Consider the following 19650-nt stretch of genomic DNA (forward strand, 5'->3'; position numbering starts at 1 on the left):
CTGGCCTGGCTCCATGGTCTCCCCGCCAATTTGCCACCTTCTCCATGCATCCTTTTCTGATCCCCTCCTCACTCATCCCAGCAAAGAACCCCCTCCTGGCCTGAGCATAGCATTTCGTGGTGTGTATCTCAGAGCATCCAGTTAGGGGTGTGCAAGTTTACTTTGTTACTGGCTGATGTTGTGAAGTCCCAAGTTGTTGGTGCCGCAAACAAAAAATTGGACATGACACACACAAATAGCAAAGCAGCAAAAGTTTATTAAGCACAGTACGATCCACTATGGATCAAGGATGACCTGCGAATGGTATCAGCATCACTTTGCTATATTTCATGGCCTTTTCTATGTGTTTTTTTTCTCTTTTTCCTCAAGCTGCCTAAGCTTTAGCCAGCATGTGCCTTTTGGTTGACAGGTGGGTTGCTTAGTTTCTTGGCCTCTGTGTGTTTACGTGTCATTTCCTTCCCATAGTTTTAAGTACATGCATGATATGCACTCTGTAGGCATGAACCTTAAGTAGCTAATTACTATACGGGGTCATTTTGAGGATATCTTTTCTCTGTAGTACATGTGCATCTTTTTTTGCAGTGGTGCAATCTTGGCTCACTGCAACCTCCTCCTCCCTGGTTCAAGTGATTCTCCTGCCTCAGCTTCCTAAGCACCTGAGACTACAGGTGCATGCCACCACGCCCGGCTAATTTTTGTATTTTTAGTAGAGATGGGGTTTCACCATGTTGGCCAGGCTGATCTCGAACTCCTGACCGCAAGTGATCCACCCACCTCGGCCTCCCAAAGCACTGGGATTACAGGCATGAGCCACCGCACCCAGCCTAGTATATGCCCATCTCTTAGGAGCTGCTCCTAACTGGTTTGGTTTGGATCTAGCCAGCCATGGGGCTCCTTATTCACTTATTTATCTTCTGTTTTTGCTCACCTGCCTCTTTCTCTTGCTTCTGCTCCTACTCATTCCTTCCTTAATCCAACCTCCAATTCCCTCTGCTATTCTCCTGCCTCAAGTTCACTAGGCTGGCTGCAAGGGTCCTGAGGGAGAGGTTGTGTATCGCCCCTGTATACTCCAGGTCCAGTAAATGTTTGCTGACTAATGATTGGCATTTCCCTCAGGCCCTGCCATTTCTGTGGGCTCAGGTCCCTACTGGCTCAGGCCCCTGCCTCCCTCGGCAAGGCCACAATGAACCGGGGAGTCCCTTTTAGGCACTTGCTTCTGGTGCTGCAACTGGGTAAGTTCTCAGACCTGGGGTCTCAATGCAGATGACGTGGGAGGAAAGGCAAAGGTGGAGGATGGGGTAGAGGGGGACAGCGGCGACATTGAGACCTGACTCCTTTCTTTTCCACTTAGCGCTCCTCCCAGCAGCCACTCAGGGAAAGAAAGTGGTGCTGGGCAAAAAAGGGGATACAGTGGAACTGACCTGTACAGCTTCCCAGAAGAAGAGCATACAATTCCACTGGAAAAACTCCAACCAGATAAAGATTCTGGGAAATCAGGGCTCCTTCTTAACTAAAGGTAGGGTTGCCTGGCTCCCCATCCAGGGAGGAAAACACACTATGGAGTGAAAGCCTTTGGTGTCTGAGATCTGGTCTTAGTTAAACTCTGGGATCCCAGAGGGCTTGGGTTGACAGAAACTCAGTGGCATTCTTATCCAGAGTTTCTCTACACCAACTGCTGGTGGCCCAGGGAAAGGTGGTATGTGAATTTCAATATTTTAATATTTAATATTCATGAACTTATTTTAGTGAGTTTTAGAACAATCACTATCACTTAAAACCCGTGATTTCTTGAGTATTGTTGCTACAGACCTATGTAGATAATACTTTGCACAGTGACTCATATGTATAATCCTAGCACTGTGGGAGGCTGAGGCCGGAGGATTGCTTGAGTCCAGGAGTTCAAGACCAGCCTGAACAACATAGTGAGACTCTGTCTCTATGAAAAAAAATATATATATATTTTTTTTGGAGACAAGGTCTAGTTCTATCACCCAGGCTCCAGTGCAGTGGTGTGATCTCGGCTCACTGCAATCTCCACCTCCCAGGCTCAAGTCATCATCCCACCTCAGCCTCCCAAGTAGCTGGGACTACAGGCATGCACCACCATGCCAGGCTAATTTTTGTATTTTTTATAGAGACAGGGTTTCACCATGTTGGCCAGGCTGGTCTCGAACTCATGAGCTCAAGTGATCCACTCACCTTGGCCTCTCAGAGTGCTGGAATTACAGGTGTGTGTCACTATGCCTAGCCAAAAAAAATTTTTTTAATTAAAAAAAAAAAGGCCGGCTGTAGTGGCTCACACCTGTAATCCAGAACTTTGGGAGTTTGAGGTGGGCAGATCACCGGNGGTCAGGAGTTCAAGACCAGTCTGGCCAACATGGTGAAACCCGGTCTCTACTAAAAATACAAAAATTAGCCAGGTGTGGGGGTGCAGTCCTGTACTTCCAGCTACTCAGGAGGCTGAGGCAGGAGACTCGCTTGAACCTGGGAGGCAAAGGCTGCAGTGAGCTGAGATTGCACCACTGCACTCCAGCCTGGGTGACAGAGCAAGACTTCATCTCAAAAAAAAAAAAAAAGCTGCANATTTATTATTATTATTATTAGTTTATTTATTTATTTTTTTGAGACAGAGTCTCGTTCTGTCGCCCAGGCTGGAGTGCGGTGGCGTGATCTTGGCTCATTGCAACCTCCACCTCCCGGGTTCAAGTGATTCTCCTGCCTCAGCCTCCCGAGTAGCTGGGACTACAGGCGTATGCCACCATGCCTGGCTAATTTTTTGTACTTTTAGTAGAGACAGAGTTTCACGGTGTTAGCCAGGCTGGTCTTGATCTCCTGACCTCGTGATTTACCCTCCTTGGCCTCCCAAAGTGCTGGGATTACAGGCGTGAGTCACTGTGCCCGGCCCAGAATCATTTTTTTCTACTTTTTTTTTTTTGAGGCAAACTCTCGATCTGTTGCCCAGGCTGGAGTGCAGTGGGCATGATCTTGGCTCACTGCAAGCTCTGCCTCCCAGGTTCAAGCAATTCTCCTGCCTCAGCCTCCTGAGTAGCTGGGACTACAGGCGTGTGCCACCATGCCCGGCTAATTTGCGTATTTTTAGTAGAGACCGGTTTTCATCATATTGGCCAGGCTGGTCTTGAACTCCTGACCTCAAGTGATTCTCCCACCTTAGCCTCCCAAAGTGCTGGGATTACAGGCATGAGCTACTGCACTTGGCCTTTTCTCCTGGTTTTAAAACTATTATATGCTCATTACAAAATATTTGGTCAATGAAGAAAAGAATATGGAAGAAAATCAAATGCATGCATACTTCTATCACTCAGAGATATCCTCTGCTAACATTTTGATTGATTTTCTTCCAATCTTTTTTTTTTTTTTTCTTTTTGAGACAGGGTCTCACTCTGCTGCCCAGGCTGGAGTACAGTGGCATGACCACAACACATCACAGCCTCAAGTGATCTTCCCACTTCAGCCTTCCCAGTAGCTGGGACTACAGGTGCACGCCACCATGTTCACCTAATTTTTTACTTTTTGTAGAGATGAGACTTCACCATGTTGCTCAGGCTGGTCTTGAATTCCTAGGCTCAAGTGATCTTCCCGCTTTGGCCTCCCAAAGTGCTGGGATTATAGGTATGAGCCACTGCATGTGGCCTATTTTCTTCCACTGTTGTTCGGCGTGGAGAATATTATATACATAATTACGTAAATGATATCATACTGTATATACCTTTTTTCCTACTCCTTCCTTAAGTTATATCATAATGAGACTACCAATTATTAGACTTTTTTTCTTTTTTTTGAGACGGAGTCTCGGTCTGTCACCTAGGCTGGAGTGCAATGGCGCGATCTCAGCTCGCTGCAACCTCTGCCTCCCAGGTTCAAGCAATTCTGCCTCAGCCTCCCGAGTAGCTGGGACTACAGACACGTGCCACCATGCCCAGCTAACTTTTTTATTTTTTTATTAGAGACAGGGTTCCACCATGCTAGCAGGATGGTCTCAATCTCTCGACTTCGTGATCAGCCCGGCTTGGCCTCCCAAAGTGCTGGGAGTACAGGTGTGAGCCACCGCACTCGGCCTAGACTAACTATTTAAAGTAATCTGGCAATGTTTAACGAATACAAAACTCTAAAACCCTTGGACCTAATAATAGCTATTTTGGAAAGTCTACTTGACAGAAATAAAATTGTGAATATTCTTTTTTGTTGTTTTTTTGAGACAGAGTCTCATTTGGACGCCTAGGCTGGAGTGCAGTGGCATGATCTCGGCTAACTGCAACCTCCACCTCCTGGGTTCAAGTGATTCTCCTGCCTCAGCCTCCTGAGCAGCTGGGATTACAGGTGTGCACCACCATGTCTGGCTAATTTTTGCATTTTTAGTAGATGGGGTTTCACCATGTTGACCAGGGTGGTCTGGAACTTCTACCCTCAAGTGATCTACCCACCTTGGCCTCCCAAAGTGCTGGGATTACAGGTGTGAGCCACCACGCCTGACCAGTGAACACTTAATAATATCTATGGAAAGGTGTTATTATAAGAATTGCTTGTGGGGCCGGGCGTGGTGGCTCACGCCTGTAATCCCAGCACTTTGGGAGGCTGTGGCAGGCGGATCACGAGGTCAGGAGATCAAGATCATCCTGGCTAACACGGTGAAACCCCGTCTCTACTAAAAATACCAAAAAATTAGCCAGGCGTGGTGGCGGGCACTTGTAATCCCAGCTATCCAGGAGGCTGAGGCAGGAGAATTGCGTGAACCCAGGAGGCGGAGGTCGCAGTGAGCTGAGACCGTGCCATTGCACTCCAGCCTGAGTGACAGAGTGAGACTCCATCACAAAAAATAAATAAATAAATAAATAAAATATAAATAAGTAAATAAAGGTCAGGAGTGGTGGCTCACGCCTGTAATCCCAGCACTTTGGGAGGCCGAGGTGGACAGATCATGAGGTCATGAGATCAAGACCATCCTGGCTAACACAGTGAAACCCTGCCTCTACTAAAAATACAAAAAGTCATCCAGGTGTGGTGGCACACACCTATAGTCCCAGCTACTTGGGAGGCTGAGGCAGGAGAATCACTTGAACCCAGGAGGCAGAGGTTGCAGTGAGCTGAGATCGCGCCACTACACTCCAGCCTAGGCGACAGAGCAAGACTCTGTCTCAAAATAAATAAATAAATAAATAAATAAATAAATAAATAAATAAAATAAAAAGCACACACACACACACACACACACACACACAATGCAAAAGACCCACCCTACTACAACTAACATTATATTTAATGGTGAAAAACTGAATTCTTTCTCCCTAAGTGCAGGAATAAGACAAAGATGTCTGCTCTTACTACTCTTATTCAACATAATACTGCAATCCCTTGCCAGTGCAATAAGGCAAGAAAAATGAAATAAAAGGAAAACTGATCAGAAAGAAAGAAATAAAACTGTTCCTATTTGTGGATGACATGATTACATAGAAAATCTCAAAGAATCTGTAAGAAACTTCTTAGAATTAATAAATGAATTCATCAAGGTTGCAGAATATAAGATAAACATAAAAAATCTATTGTATTTCTATATATTAGCAAGGAACATGTGTACACAGAAATTAAAACTACAATACCATTTATAATTGCTCAAAAAGGCCAGGCATGGTGGCTCACACCTGTAATTCCTGCACTTTGGGAGGCCAAGGTGGGAAGATTGCTTAAGCCCAGGAGTTCAAGACCAGCCCGGGCAACATAGTGAGACCTTGTCTCTACAAAAAGTAAAAAATTAGCTGAGCATGGCCGGGTGCAGTGGCTCACTCCTGTAACCCCAACACTTTGGGAGGCTGAGGCGGGCGGATCATGAGGTCAGGAGATCGAGACCATCCTGGCTAACACGGTGAAACCCTGTCTCTACTAAAAACACAAAAAATTAGCTGGATGTGGTGGCAGGCGCCTGTAGACCCAGCTACTCGGGAAGCTGAGGCAGGAGAATGGCGTGAACCTGGGAGGCGGAGCTTGCAGTGAGCTGAGATTGTGCCACTGCACTCCAGCCTGGGTGACACAGTGAGACTACGTCTCAAAAAAAAAAAAAAAAAAATTAGCTGAGCATTATGGTGTATGCCTGTAGTCCCAGCTACTGGGGAGGCTGAGGTGGGAGGATTGCTTGAGCCCTAGGAGGGCAAGGCTGCAGTGAGCCATGATCACACCACTGCTTTCCAGCCTCGGTAGGAGAGCAAGACCCTATCTCAAAAAAAAAAAAAAAAAAAAAAGAAAAGAAAAGAAAAGAAAAGAAAAAGAAAGAGAGAAAGAAATACTTAGGTGTAAATCTAAAAAACATGCGTAGGGCCAGGTGCAGTGGCTCATGCCTGTAATCCCAGCACTTTGGGAAGTTGAGGCTGGCGGATCACTTGAAGTCGGGAGTTTGAGACCAGCCTGGCCAACATGGTGAAACCCCGTCTCTACTAAAAATGCAAAAATTAGGCAGGTGTTGTGGCGCATGCCTGATCCCAGCTACTTTGGAGGCTGAGGCAGGAGAATTGCTTCAACCCGGGAGGCAGAGGTTGCAGTGAGCCAAGACTGTTCCACTGCACTCCAGCCTGGGCAACAGAGTAAGAGTCTGTCTCCCGAAAAAAAAAAAAAGAAAAAAGAAAGCATTGAATTGTATGCTAAAAACTACACGATGCTGATTAAAGAAGTCAAAGAAGATCTAAATATATGGAGAGACATGCTGTACTCATGGATTGATGGATTGGAAGACTCAACATAAGAAAGATATCAATTTTCCCCAAATTAATATACAAGTTTAATCCAATTCCTATAAAAATACCAGCAAGATTTTTTGTAGATATAAACAAGTTGGCCAGGTGTAGTGGCTTACACCTGTAATCCTAGCACTTTGGGAGGCTGAGGTGGGAAGATCGCTTGAGCCCAGGTGTTCACGACTGCAGTGAGCTATGATTGTGTCACTGCATTCCAGCTGGCACTCCAGCCTAAGTGACAAAGGGAGACCCTGTCTCAAAAACAAAAACAAAACCAAAATAATTTTGCTCTGCAAAATCCCTATTAAGAAGAAGAAAAGAGGCTGGGCACAGTGGCTCACCGCTGTAATCCCAGCACGTTGGGAGGCTGAGGCAGGCTGATCACTTCAGCCCAGAAGTTTGAGATCAGCCTGGGCAACATGAGGAAACCCCGTCTCTACCAAAAAAAAAAAAAGGTACATACACACACACACACACACACACACACATACACAAGTATATACACATATATATACACATACAGGTGAATAGATGTATATACATCTATTTATTGTGAATATACATCTATACACACACGTGTGTGTACACATATATTTAAAATTTATTTTTATTTATTTATTTATTTTTGAGACAGAGTCTTGCTCTGTCACCCAGGCTGGGTGCACCTGTATTCCCAACGACACAGGAGGCTGAGGTGGGAGAATCACTGAGCCAGGGAGGCAGAGGTTGCAGTGAGCCAAGATGTTGCCTGGTTGCCTGGGCAACAGAGCGAGACCCTATATCAAAAAAGAAGAATAATAAGAAAAGACAGTTTACAGAATATAAGAAAATATATTCACAATCCACATACTTAGCAAAGGACTGGTATCTAGAATATGATAAACAACTCTCAAAACTCAAAACCAAAAAAATGAACAATTCAATTAGAAAACAGGCCGAAAAGGACATACAGTTGGCAAATAAGCACATGAAAAGTTGTTCAACATCATTAATCATTAGGGATATGTACATTAAAACCACAATAGGCTATCACTAAACCTATCAGAATGGCTAAATACAAAATTGGAACACCACCAAATGCTGATGAGGATGTGGAGAAACTGGGTCATTCTTCCAATATTGGTGGGAGGCTAAAATGGCAAAGCCACTCTGGAAAACAGTTTGATAGTTTCTTATAAAACAAAACATGCGGCCGGGCGCGGTAGCTCACGCCTGTAATCCCAGCACTTTGGGAGGCCGAGGCGGGTGGATCACGAGGTCAGGAGATCGAGACCATCCTGGCTAACACGGTGAAACCCTGTCTCTACTAAAAATACAAAAAATTAGCCGGGCGTGGTGGCGGGCGCCTGTAGTCCCAGCTACTCGGGAGGCTGAGGCAGGAGAATGGTGTGAACCCGGGAGGCGGAGCTTGCAGTGAGCCGAGATCGCGCCATTGCACTCCAACCTGGGAGACGGAGGGAGACTCCGTCTCAAAAAAACAAAAACAAACAAACAAAAAACATGCAACAATCCAGCAATATTGCACCCCTAGGCATTTATCCTAGAGCAATGAAGACTTATGCCCACACAAAAAGCTGCACACAAATGTTCATAGCAGCTTTATTCATGGTAGCCAACAATTAGAAACAATCTAGATGTCCTTCAACTGGTGAATGATTACATCCATACCACGAAATACTTTTCAGCAATAAAAAGGATGAATCATAGTACACACCACAACCTGGATGAATCTCCAGGGAATTATGCTGAGTGAAAAAAAGCCAATCTCAAAAGGTAATATACTGTATTAATCCATTTATATAACATTCTTAAAATAACTAATTATAGAAATGGAGAACAGATGAGTGATTGCCAGGGGTTAAGGGGCTCAGGGATGGGGAGGGGAAGGGGTATGGCTACAAAAAGCAACAACCTTATGGCGCCGGAAATGTTCTGTATTCTGATTGTGTCAATGTGAGCATACTGGTTGAGATATAGTGCTACAGTTTTGCAAGTTATTACCATCAGAGTAAACTGGATAGAGGGCACATAGGATTTCTCTGTATTACTTCTTACAACTGCAAGTGAATCTACAATTATCTCAAAATAATAAGTTTAGTTTAATGCTAGGCGTGGTGGCTCACATCTGTAATCTCAGCTCTTTGGGAGGCTGAGACGGGTGGATGGCTTGAGTCCAGGAGTTCGAGACCAGCCTGGCCAACATGGCAAAACCGGTCTCTACTAAAAATACAAAAATTAGCTGGGCGTGGTGGCAAGTGCCTGTAGTCCCAGCTACTCGGGAGGCTGAGGCAGGAGAATTGCTTGAACCCGGGAGGTGGAGGTTGCAGTGAGCCGAGATCACGCCACTACACTGTAGCTTGGGCGACAGAGTGAGGCTCTTTCTCAAAAAAAAAAAAAAAAAAAAAAAAGCAGGCAGGCAGGGCCAGGAAAGCGTATAATTTTTGTAGTTCAAATGACTAACCTAAAAAGTGAAGATTGGCCAGGCGCAGTGGCTCACGCCTGTAATCCCAGCACTTTGGGAGGCCAAGGCGGGTGGATCACGAGGTCAGGAGATTGAGCCACTCTGGCTAACACAGTGAAACCCCGTCTCTACTAAAATACAAAAAATTAGCTGGGCGTGGTGGCACCCGCCTGTAGTTGCAGCTACTTGGGAGGCTGAGGCAGGAGAATCACTTGAACCCAGGAGGCGAAGTTGCAGCGAGCCGAGATCACACTACTGCACTCCAGCCTGGGTGACAAAGTGAGATTCTGTCTCAAAAAAAAAAAAAAAAAAAAAAAAAAAAAAAAGTGAAGTTTACCTTTTTTTTTAAATTTTTCTTCTTTTCCTTCCCTACTTTGTGAGATAATTTTCTTCTTTTTAAAAAGCCAAGAGCTTACTTCTGTAAGTAAAGATTATCTTAAGACAACTTAGAAATGTATATTATTAGTATTTTCTATTTCATTGTAAGTTATTTGTAAATATTGGTTTTGGTGCTAACCTAGAATTCCATCAAATTAATTGTCCCCTAATATATGGCCATTATCATTTTGTCTAACATTGTATCCTATTAACAATGCTGTAAGTATTATTTTTGTAGCTAAATTATGGTTTGCATTTTAAAATTATTGTTTTAAGGATAAAGTTCCAGAAATGAAATTAAGGATATGAACTTTTTGAGCACATCTTGTCAGCACTGAGTAGTATTATTTAAAACTTTTGGGGGGGGCAATTTTATAATTGAAAAATATATCATTGTTTTAATTTGCATTTCTTTCACTGCCTATGAGATTAAAACAATGCACTACTTTCCAAAAATTCTTAAGTCTTTTGTGTTGATGCTTTTGTTCTGTTTCTATGGATCTCATCTTCCTTCAGAACAGCTCCCCTTCCCAACTTCCTGATTTCTAACAATAACAGTATCACCCTCCTTGTTCTCCCAATTTCTGAAACACAGAGTCATGTTTTTTTCTCTGCTTCAATCCCTGGTTTCCTATCGTCATCAATTATGACCTTTCCTTGCTTTGAAAGTGTTTTGGGCCGGGCATGATGTCTGCCACCTATTGTAATCCTAGCACTTTGGGAGGCTGAGGCGGCTGGATGACTTGACCTGAGGATTTCGAGACCAGCCTGGGCAACAGGGCGAAACCTCGTCTCTACAAAAAATACAAAAGTTAGTCGGGAGTGGTGGCACATGCTTGTAGTCCCAGTTACTTGGGGGGCTGAGGTGGCAGGATCTCTTGAGCCCACGAGGTAGATGTTGCAGTGAGCCGTGATTGCGCCACTGCACCCCAGCCTAGGTGACAGAGTGAGACCCTGTCTCAAAAAAAAAAAAATGTTCTAGTTTCTTCCTCTTCTTTGTTCCCATGGGAATGCCACCATCACCAGCCAAGGCTCACATACCTCCCACCTGGATTACAGTGAGCTTCCAGGTAATTTGGTCTGCTACTAGTCTCGCCTACTTGGATTTCCCTTCCCCCTGCTGCAGCATTGCCTTCCAAAGCCATGCTTTGCACATGCCACATCCTAGCCCATTAGACTAAGCCTAGAAGCCTCTGCAGGACGTTCACCCTCTCAGCGCCACTGCTCAGTTTCCCAGTGGAAACCTCTGCACCCAGGAGGTTTCCCCACAGCTTGCCTGTGCTGCCTCTCTGGAGCTTTTCTCCCTTCCTGTAATGTCCTTGCTGCTCCCCGTCTCTAGTCCATTGCCTATACCTCTTTTTTTTTTTTTTTTTGAGATGGAGTCTCTCTCTCTCATCCAGGCTGGAGTGCAGTGGCGCGATCTCGGCTCACTGCAACCTTTGTCTCCTGGGTTCAAGGGATTCTCCTGCCTCAGCCTCCCGAGTAACTGGGATTACAGGCGTGCACCACCATTCCTGGCTAATTTTTGTATTTTTAGTAAAGACTGGGTTTCACCATGTTGGCCAGGCTGGTCTTGAACTCCTGCCCTCAGGTGATCCACCTGCCTCGGCCTCCCAGAGTGCTGGGATTACAGGCGTGAGCCACCGCACCTGCCACAGGCCCATACCTCTTTTAAGTCTTCATTCAATACCAGTTGTCCCATGAATTTGTCCCAGACTCACTCATATGCTTAGACCTTTCATATTATCTTGCCATAGCTTTTTCAAAGTATGGGACAGCATGGACAAGCAGGCCATGGTTTTCTTTTGAAGAGAAGCAAGGAGGCAGAGTTATTTTAGGAGGAGGGTTATACATTTCATTTTGAACCAATTGCGTTTGGGGTGATGGCAGGATATTAACATAAACTTATTTCTTGGACCATTGGAAATGTGTGCCTAGAACTGAGGAGAGAGGTCAGGGCTGGCAGTAACAACTTGGCCACAATCTGCAGAGCTGACTGGGGATGAGGTGGAATTTAGAATGTCTGTAGAAACGGGGAAGAGAACCAAAGACAGAGTCTGGGACAACACCTAAATGTAGATGTCAGAGCAAGAGTTCAAGACGAAGAAAAACGAATCATACTTAGAAATGGAGGGGAGGAACAAAAGAGGCGGAGCAAAGTGGGGCAGAACCAGAGTAGGCCACGCTTTTAAGAAGTTTGGTAAAGGAACTGTGAAAGGAATGTAGTTGAATTTCAGGGTAAGCTGGGGAATTAAAGCAGTGTGTAGATCCAGGGCAAACAGCAAGTAGGGCAGGAACCACTGAAGGAACAAATAAAGGGGGAGGTTGGGTCCAGGTTGTCTTGAGTAGGGAAGTTTTTTTAAAAAGTGTGAAACTGAAGGTGTGGGGTGGATTGGGTGCCTGCCGTGCTCTGAGGAAGCTTGGGGCAACTGTGTGCTGAGGCTGTGAGGTTGTCTGGAAGGGGCTCCTGGACAGTAAGAGCTGAGCAGTGGGGAAGAGGACTGTGTGGTCTGGAAGAGGAGAGAAAGGAGAGTGAGTGACTGAACTGGTATCCAGGCTCCCACACCAAGGCAGAAAGAGGGAGAGGACCTGGGCATCTCAGGGAGGCAGAGGCAGTACCAAGCAGGGTGAGAGGCTTTAGTCTTAGCCACCTTTGCCCCATTCCTCCAAATATACATTCTAAGTAAAAACAAAACAAAACAGAACTGTTTGCTATGTAAATTTAGCTTCTAAAGCCCTGTTCTACAGAGATTTTGGAGCTTCCACTGCACCCAGAAAATGCACAGCTAAAGAGAAAACTTCCCTTGGTGATGGTTATTAGATTTTACAAGAAGAGGCCAAAGGAGACACATACTTATGCCAGAAGAACTTTCCAGAGATAGCATTGCATAGCGAAATAGCCTGAATTATTTTTATTTTTTAAAACATTTTTTCTTTTCTTTTTTCTTTTCTTTTTCTTTTTTTTTTTTTTTTTTTGAGACAGAGTCTCACTCTGTCACCCAGGCTGGAGTGCAGTGGCGTGATCTTGGCTCACTGCAATCTCCACCTCCCGGGTTCAAGCCATTCTCCTCCCTCAGCCTCCCAAGTAGCTGGGATTACAGGCATGCGTCACTATGCTCTGGCTAATTTTTTTTTTCTTTTTTTTTTTGGTATTTTTAGTAGAGATGGGGTTTCACCATGTTGGCCAGGCTGGTCTTGAACTCCTGACCTCAAGTGATCCACCGCCTTGGCCTCCCAAAGTGCTGGGATTTCAGGCGTGAGCCACCGCACCCGGCCAAAAATTTCTTTTCTTTAAGATGAGGCCTCACTCTGTTGCCCAGGCTGGAGTGCAGTGTTACAATCATAGCTCACTGTAACTTTGAACTCCTGGGCTCAAGTGATCCTCCTGCTTCAGCCTCTCAAGTAGCTGGGATTACAGGCATGTGCCACCACACCCAGCTAATTTTTTTTAAAATAATTTTTTTTAGAGACGAGGGTCTCGATTGGCTGCCTAGGTTGGTCCCAGACTCCTGACGGGCTGCATTTTAATCCTAGCTCCACCACTTACGGGAGTCAAAATTCAAAAGATAGAAAAGGGCATATAGGCTGGGTGCAGTGGCTCACACCTGCAATCCCAGCAATTTGGGAGGCTGAGGTGGGCGGGTTGCTTGAGGTCAGGAGTTCGAGATCAGCCTGGGCAACATGGCAAAACTTGTATCTACTAAAAATACAAAAATTAGCCAGATGTGGTGGTGTACACCTGTAATCCCAGCTACTCCGAAGGCTGAGGCAAGAGAATCCCTTGAACTCAGGAGGCAGAGGTTACAATGAGCAGAGATCGAACACTCGACTCCATAAAAACAAACAAACAAAAAAAGAAAGCAGGCTGGGTGTGGTGGCTCACGCCTGTAACCCCAGCACTTCGGGAGGCCAAGGCGAGCGGATCACCTGAGGTTGGGCATTCGAGACCAGCCTGACCAACAAGGAGAAACCCTGTCTCTACTGAAAATACAAAATTAGCCGGGCTTGGTTGCGCATGCCTGTAATCTCAGCTACTCGGGAGGCAGAGGCAAGATAATTGCTTGAACCCGGGAGGCGGAGGTTGCGGTGAGCCAAGATCATGCCATTGCACTCCAACCTGGGCAACAATAGCGAAACTCCATCTCAAAAAAAAAAAAGCAAAGGGCATATAGTGAAAAGCTTTCTTCCTACACATGAGTATTCACTTCCTCTTCCTAGAGGCAACCAAGGTTATTTTTGTGTGTGTGTGTGTGTGTGTGTGTGTGTGTGTGTGTTTTGGGACAGTCTCACTCTCTCACCAAGGCTGGAATGCAGTGGTGCGATCTCACTGCAAACTCTGCCTCCCAGTCTCAAGCGATCTTGTGCCTCAGCCTCCCAGTTTTTTTTTCTTTTAAATGGGGTCTCATTCTGTCGCCCAGGGTGGAGTGCAGTGGCATGATCATAGCTCACTGCAGCCTCGACCTCCTGGGTCAGGTTATCCTCCCACCTCAGCCTCCGGCATAGCTGGGGCTACTGGCATGCACCACCACACTCAGTTAATTTTTTTTCTTTTTTGAGACAGAGTCTCACTCTGTCACCTAGACTGGAGTGCAGTGGTGCCATCTCATTTGTTTCACTGCAACCTTTGACTTCTGGGCTCAAGTGATTCTCCCACCTCAGCCTCCCAAGGCGGCTAATTAAAAAAAATTTTTTTTTTTTTTTTTTTAGAGATGGGGTTTCGCCATGTTGCCCAGGCTGATCTCGAACTCCTGGGCACAAACAATCTTTCCACCTCGATCTTTCAAAGAGCTGGGATGAGAGATTTCCACCATGCCTGGCCTCATTTTCTTTTTTAATTTTTTTTTAGACATTATAGCTCTTTTTAATGGCCTCATTTTCTTATGTTTAATTCGAGAATTATTCTTTTCATATACAAAGAATATATTTTCTCCACCTTTAAAAACAAATAGTAGACTGTTTAACATCTCGCTTTATTCAGTTAGTGATGTTTCTTAGATACGGGTCCAAATTAGTACACAAAGCACTTCCTCATTCCTCTCTTACGGCTGCATAGCAGTCCACTGAATGGGTGAGCTATGATCTATTTAACCTATTCTTTATTGATGGACATTTGGTTTTGTATATACATTTGTAATTCTGTATAGATTACAAATCACCATCCAAAGAAATTGTACTGGTTTATTCTCCTACAATGTGTGAGAGTTGGGTAATTACTTAATCTCAATATGTGAGAGTTTAGGCAGTTACCTAATCTCTCTGAGTCTCAGTTTCTCTATCTGCAAAATAAACAAAACAGTGTTGACAGTATCTATTTCTCGGAATTATTGTGGAGATTACTGAGATGATGCCTGTAAAGTATTTGGCATGTAGGAGTTGGTGCTCTCCAAATAAGGATATGATTTTATTTGTATTTGTGAGCTACTGTCCCAGCCAGGTAAATGGATATGATGAGACCTCCTTGCCAGACCGGGTTTCTCTGATTAGAACGAGGAGCAGATGTTGCAGGAAATTAGCAACTGATATCAGAAGAGCCGTGGGCATTCTCTTGCCAGAGGTGCCCTGTCTCCAGGGCGCCTCAGTCCCCCCCCATATGTCTTCTGCTCCCAGGTCCATCCAAGCTGAATGATCGCGCTGACTCAAGAAGAAGCCTTTGGGACCAAGGAAACTTTCCCCTGATCATCAAGAATCTTAAGATAGAAGACTCAGATACTTACATCTGTGAAGTGGAGGACCAGAAGGAGGAGGTGCAATTGCTAGTGTTCGGATGTGAGTGGGGCAGGTGGGGATGAGGATACCTCCTGCCTGGTTCCCTTCCCCACTACTCCCACCCCTGCACCAAATCCAGCCTGAGCTGGTGATACCGCAGCAGCCCCAAGAGGACCAGGCTGTCAAACTGGCCTCCAAATGTCTTAAAACCCTTCTTGATCAGGTGAGGGATGCTGGTGGGCGGAGGAGGGAAGAGGCCTTGGGAAAAGGAAAGAAAAGGGAAGGAGGCAAGGGAAGGAGGGAGAGAGACTGGGGAAGAGAGGATGAGGGGAGAGGAGGAAAGAAGAGAGAGAGGAGGGGAGAGGGAAACCCTATCTTGGCTGGGGGTGCGCAGCTGGGTGCTGGGAGGAAGGAGATGTTGGGACGGCGATAATGGAGAGATGTTGTTGGTTTCCTGTTGTCTGCCCTTCTCCTTGGGGATGGTATGTGTGTGACACAGCTGGCCTTTCCCTCCACAGTGACTGCCAACTCTGACACCCACCTGCTTCAGGGGCAGAGCCTGACCCTGACCTTGGAGAGCCCCCCTGGTAGTAGCCCCTCAGTGCAATGTAGGAGTCCAAGGGGTAAAAACATACAGGGGGGGAAGACCCTCTCCGTGTCTCAGCTGGAGCTCCAGGATAGTGGCACCTGGACATGCACTGTCTTGCAGAACCAGAAGAAGGTGGAGTTCAAAATAGACATCGTGGTGCTAGGTAAGGGAAGCCCCTCTTCGCGCAGTCTCCTCCCTGCCCCAGGGGCTGACAGCCCCTCCCTCTGCTCTGACTGCCCTGTTTCTGGTTCTGGTGCTGGGAGGTCAGGAGTGGAGAAGACTAGGTCCCCTAGAGCTGAGGCCTGTCTTGAAGGACTCACTGGGGCCCTCATCCTCAGGGGGCTGATTGGCAGCCACCCCTCAGTGTGGTGGACATGGAGAAAGGAAAGGCTGGGGAAGGTAAGGATGCTAGAGGCCCGAGTCTCCTTTGGAGGCCCCAAAGGAGGAATGTCAGGGAGCTTACTTTCTTTGTTGCCTCAGCTCCACACCCCTACCAAGTTGGCAAATCCACTTACTCAGGGACACTAACACCAGTAAGCCAACCCTGATGATGTTCTATGTTGTACCTCTGGACCTCTAAGCCAGGCCACTGTGGGGAGACCAAGGTCCTACCCCAGATCCTGTCCCCTGGGTGCTTATGTGACTTAAGGTAGACATAAGGTAGTGTGCCAGTTTAGTGCATGTACGCTGATTGAAATCCTGGTTCTGCCACAACCATGTGACCTTGGGTGAGTTACTAAACCTCTCTGCACCTTGGTTTCAGCCTCTGTGAAATGGGGATGATGTTAACTGCCATAGTGACTACCTCGTATTAAGTTGAGGACTGATATACGTAAGGCACTGAAAATGGTGCCTGGCACAGAGTAAGCCCTAGTTAAGTGTTCGCTGTTATTTTGTGAAGGGTGATGAATACGCCTCTAAGGAGTGGAGGCCAAATGGCTTCTGTGGTCCAGGAATCCTAAGGACAGCAAGGATCCCCTGTGGCTGGGCTGCTCTGTGATGGCTTCCGGGAGGAGGGAGGTGGCCTGCTGTAGGAAAATGCTGGGTGGAAGAAGGGAGAGAAGGCTGGAGAGGTAGGAAGGAACTGAAGTATCTGAAGTGACAAGGTGGGTGTCTGGACTCGTCGGGTCCCCTTCCATCTCCCTGCTGCCTCCACATGCCAACCCCACTCGTGCACCCTCATCTTCCTATCTCCTCACCCAGGGTCTCTCCCTTCCCACCTCCAGCTTTCCAGAAGGCCTCCAGCATAGTCTATAAGAAAGAGGGGGAACAGGTGGAGTTCTCCTTCCCACTCGCCTTTACAGTTGAAAAGCTGACGGGCAGTGGCGAGCTGTGGTGGCAGGCGGAGAGGGCTTCCTCCTCCAAGTCTTGGATCACCTTTGACCTGAAGAACAAGGAAGTGTCTGTAAAACGGGTTACCCAGGACCCTAAGCTCCAGATGGGCAAGAAGCTCCCGCTCCACCTCACCCTGCCCCAGGCCTTGCCTCAGTATGCTGGCTCTGGAAACCTCACCCTGGCCCTTGAAGCGAAAACAGGAAAGTTGCATCAGGAAGTGAACCTGGTGGTGATGAGAGGTGAGGGGCCAGGCCAGGGAGGGGTGGGCAGGGGAAGGAGTTGGAGGGGCCTGGCCCAGGGCTCCCTCTGAGGCAAGCCAGGCCCCAAGAGGGGATGCCTAGGCCCTGGTCACCTGGATGAAGTGAGGGAGGGCCCTCTGGGTTTGGGGCTGGTTTTGAACTGAGACATCCATGAGCCAGCCTGGGGCTGGCTTCACTGAAGATCCCCAAAGCACTTGGGCTAAGAACCAGGGTTCCAGTTCTTCCTATAACCAACCCTCTGTGACCCTGGCTAAGCCCCCTCCCACTGCAGGCCTGCTTCCTGACCTGTCTAATAAGGATAATGAAATCTGCTCTCTGTGTGATAGTAATGATGATAATGTCAAGCTCCAAATTGAGTTTCTGGCTTCCTTATCTCCTTATCATCATAACGACTCTGCAAATAGTAATGGCTAACACTTGATGCTCAGCACGTGTCGGGCCCCATCCAAACACTTTACATGTATGCCTGCCTTTAGTACTATCTGGGTGCAGGTTGTTAAGTCACTTGCCCAGAGACACACAGCTGCTAAGCAGTGGAGCTGGGATTCAAATCCAATACCACTGGACCCCAAACGCTGTTTTTCCTCGTAGGACTGCATGAAAACCTGCTCTAAAAGGCTAAAAGAAGGTCACCCATATAGAGTATCATTTTAATTGTTCTACTGAATCTCAGGCCTTTGATCTCAGCCTCTCGTTCCTCTGCAGCCACTCAGCTCCAGAAAAATTTGACCTGTGAGGTGTGGGGACCCACCTCCCCTAAGCTGATGCTGAGTTTGAAACTGGAGAACAAGGAGGCAAAGGTCTCGAAGCGGGAGAAGGCGGTGTGGGTGCTGAACCCTGAGGCGGGGATGTGGCAGTGTCTGCTGAGTGACTCGGGACAGGTCCTGCTGGAATCCAACATCAAGGGTAAGGACCCAGGTTCCAAGGCCTCTGCCTCCTGGGCTGCGGGACCTTCCTGTGGTTGGCAGAGACCACCCAGAGTCCCGGCCTCCCAATGCCTGAGTTGGGGGGTTATGGGTATGGTGTCCTCTGTGGTCCCAGGGTGCTTTGGAGGCCCCAAAAGGAGGCATAGAAGTGATGAAGTGAGGTGGGTTGTGGTCCTGGGCTCTAGGCTGCCAGTTGTAATTCTACAAGTTCCCACTCCCTCAGGTCTACAGCCTAGGGATGGGGTCCACCTGACCGAGAGCCCCCCTCCCTGGCTCCTGGCTTTTCTCCAAATCCAGACGCACTTACACACACACTCACACACATACACTCTCACACACATGCACACACTCCCATACACTCTCACACACGCACACACATCACTCACACACTCGCACACACTCATACACACACTACACACACATCCACACTCACACCCACACTCTCACCCCATGTACTCACACCCATGCACTCACACACTGTCACACACTCATACACACACATGTACTCACACATGCATGCACACACACACTTACACATTCACGCACATACTCTCACCCACACACTGTCGTACACGTACACTCACACACTTATACACTCACATCCGCACACGCATTATTCACACATGTGCACACACGCGCGCGCACATGCATGCAGTCACGCACACACATTCATACACGCACACAGGCACACATTCACACACATGCACACACGCACACACATTCACACATGGACTCACACGCGCACACGCGCGCACACACACACATTCACACCATTCACACACGCACACACATGCACACACTCACACATGCACACACACATGCACTCACACACACAGCCCAGGAGCCAGACCACAGCTTCTCTCTCTCCAGAGTGCCCTGGATATGGATATGCCCAAACATAAAACCGATTCCCCAGCACTGGCGGCCTTTGAGAGCCCCCAGGCACCCCTCCCCTCTCCCCCAACCCCAGGGTCAAACCAGAGACTGGCCAGGAGGGATTGCAGGGCAGTCCTCAGTCCCCTGGCCCGTGGAGGAGGGCGGTGCATTGAGCACATTTCTCTCCCTTGCAGTTCTGCCCACATGGTCCACCCCGGTGCAGCCAATGGCCCTGATTGTGCTGGGGGGCGTCGCCGGCCTCCTGCTTTTCATTGGGCTAGGCATCTTCTTCTGTGTCAGGTGCCGGCACCGAAGGGTGAGTAACCCCACACCTGGTCCCCACAAGGCCCTCAAACCCCTGAGTCCTCTACCAGGAGAT

At 47.3% G+C, this 19650-nt stretch overlaps 1 protein-coding gene across 9 annotated transcripts in view; it reads left to right on the top strand.

Annotated features, from left to right (window-relative positions):
- CD4 (CD4 molecule) overlaps positions 1–19650 on the top strand; it is a 31272-nt gene that overhangs the window by 9428 nt on the left and 2194 nt on the right. Inside the window, exons 2-9 of one of the 9 annotated variants that reach the window (NM_001382707.1) lie at positions 583–668; positions 1117–1232; positions 1352–1516; positions 15187–15345; positions 15804–16037; positions 17101–17448; positions 18175–18375; positions 19466–19587. In NM_001382707.1, the coding sequence (NP_001369636.1) occupies positions 1184–1232; positions 1352–1516; positions 15187–15345; positions 15804–16037; positions 17101–17448; positions 18175–18375; positions 19466–19587 (1278 nt within the window). In that variant the 5' untranslated portion in view covers positions 583–668; positions 1117–1183. Of the gene's footprint in view, positions 1–582; positions 669–1116; positions 1233–1351; positions 1517–15186; positions 15509–15803; positions 16038–16775; positions 17449–18174; positions 18376–19465; positions 19588–19650 lie in introns of all 9 variants that reach the window. The other 8 variants (NM_001382706.1, NM_000616.5, NM_001382714.1 and 5 more) reach the window with 8 other exon arrangements.

Source organism: Homo sapiens, chromosome 12 (assembly GCF_000001405.40).
Source record: "Homo sapiens chromosome 12, GRCh38.p14 Primary Assembly".
In the NCBI taxonomy this organism is placed as follows: Eukaryota; Metazoa; Chordata; class Mammalia; order Primates; family Hominidae; genus Homo; species Homo sapiens.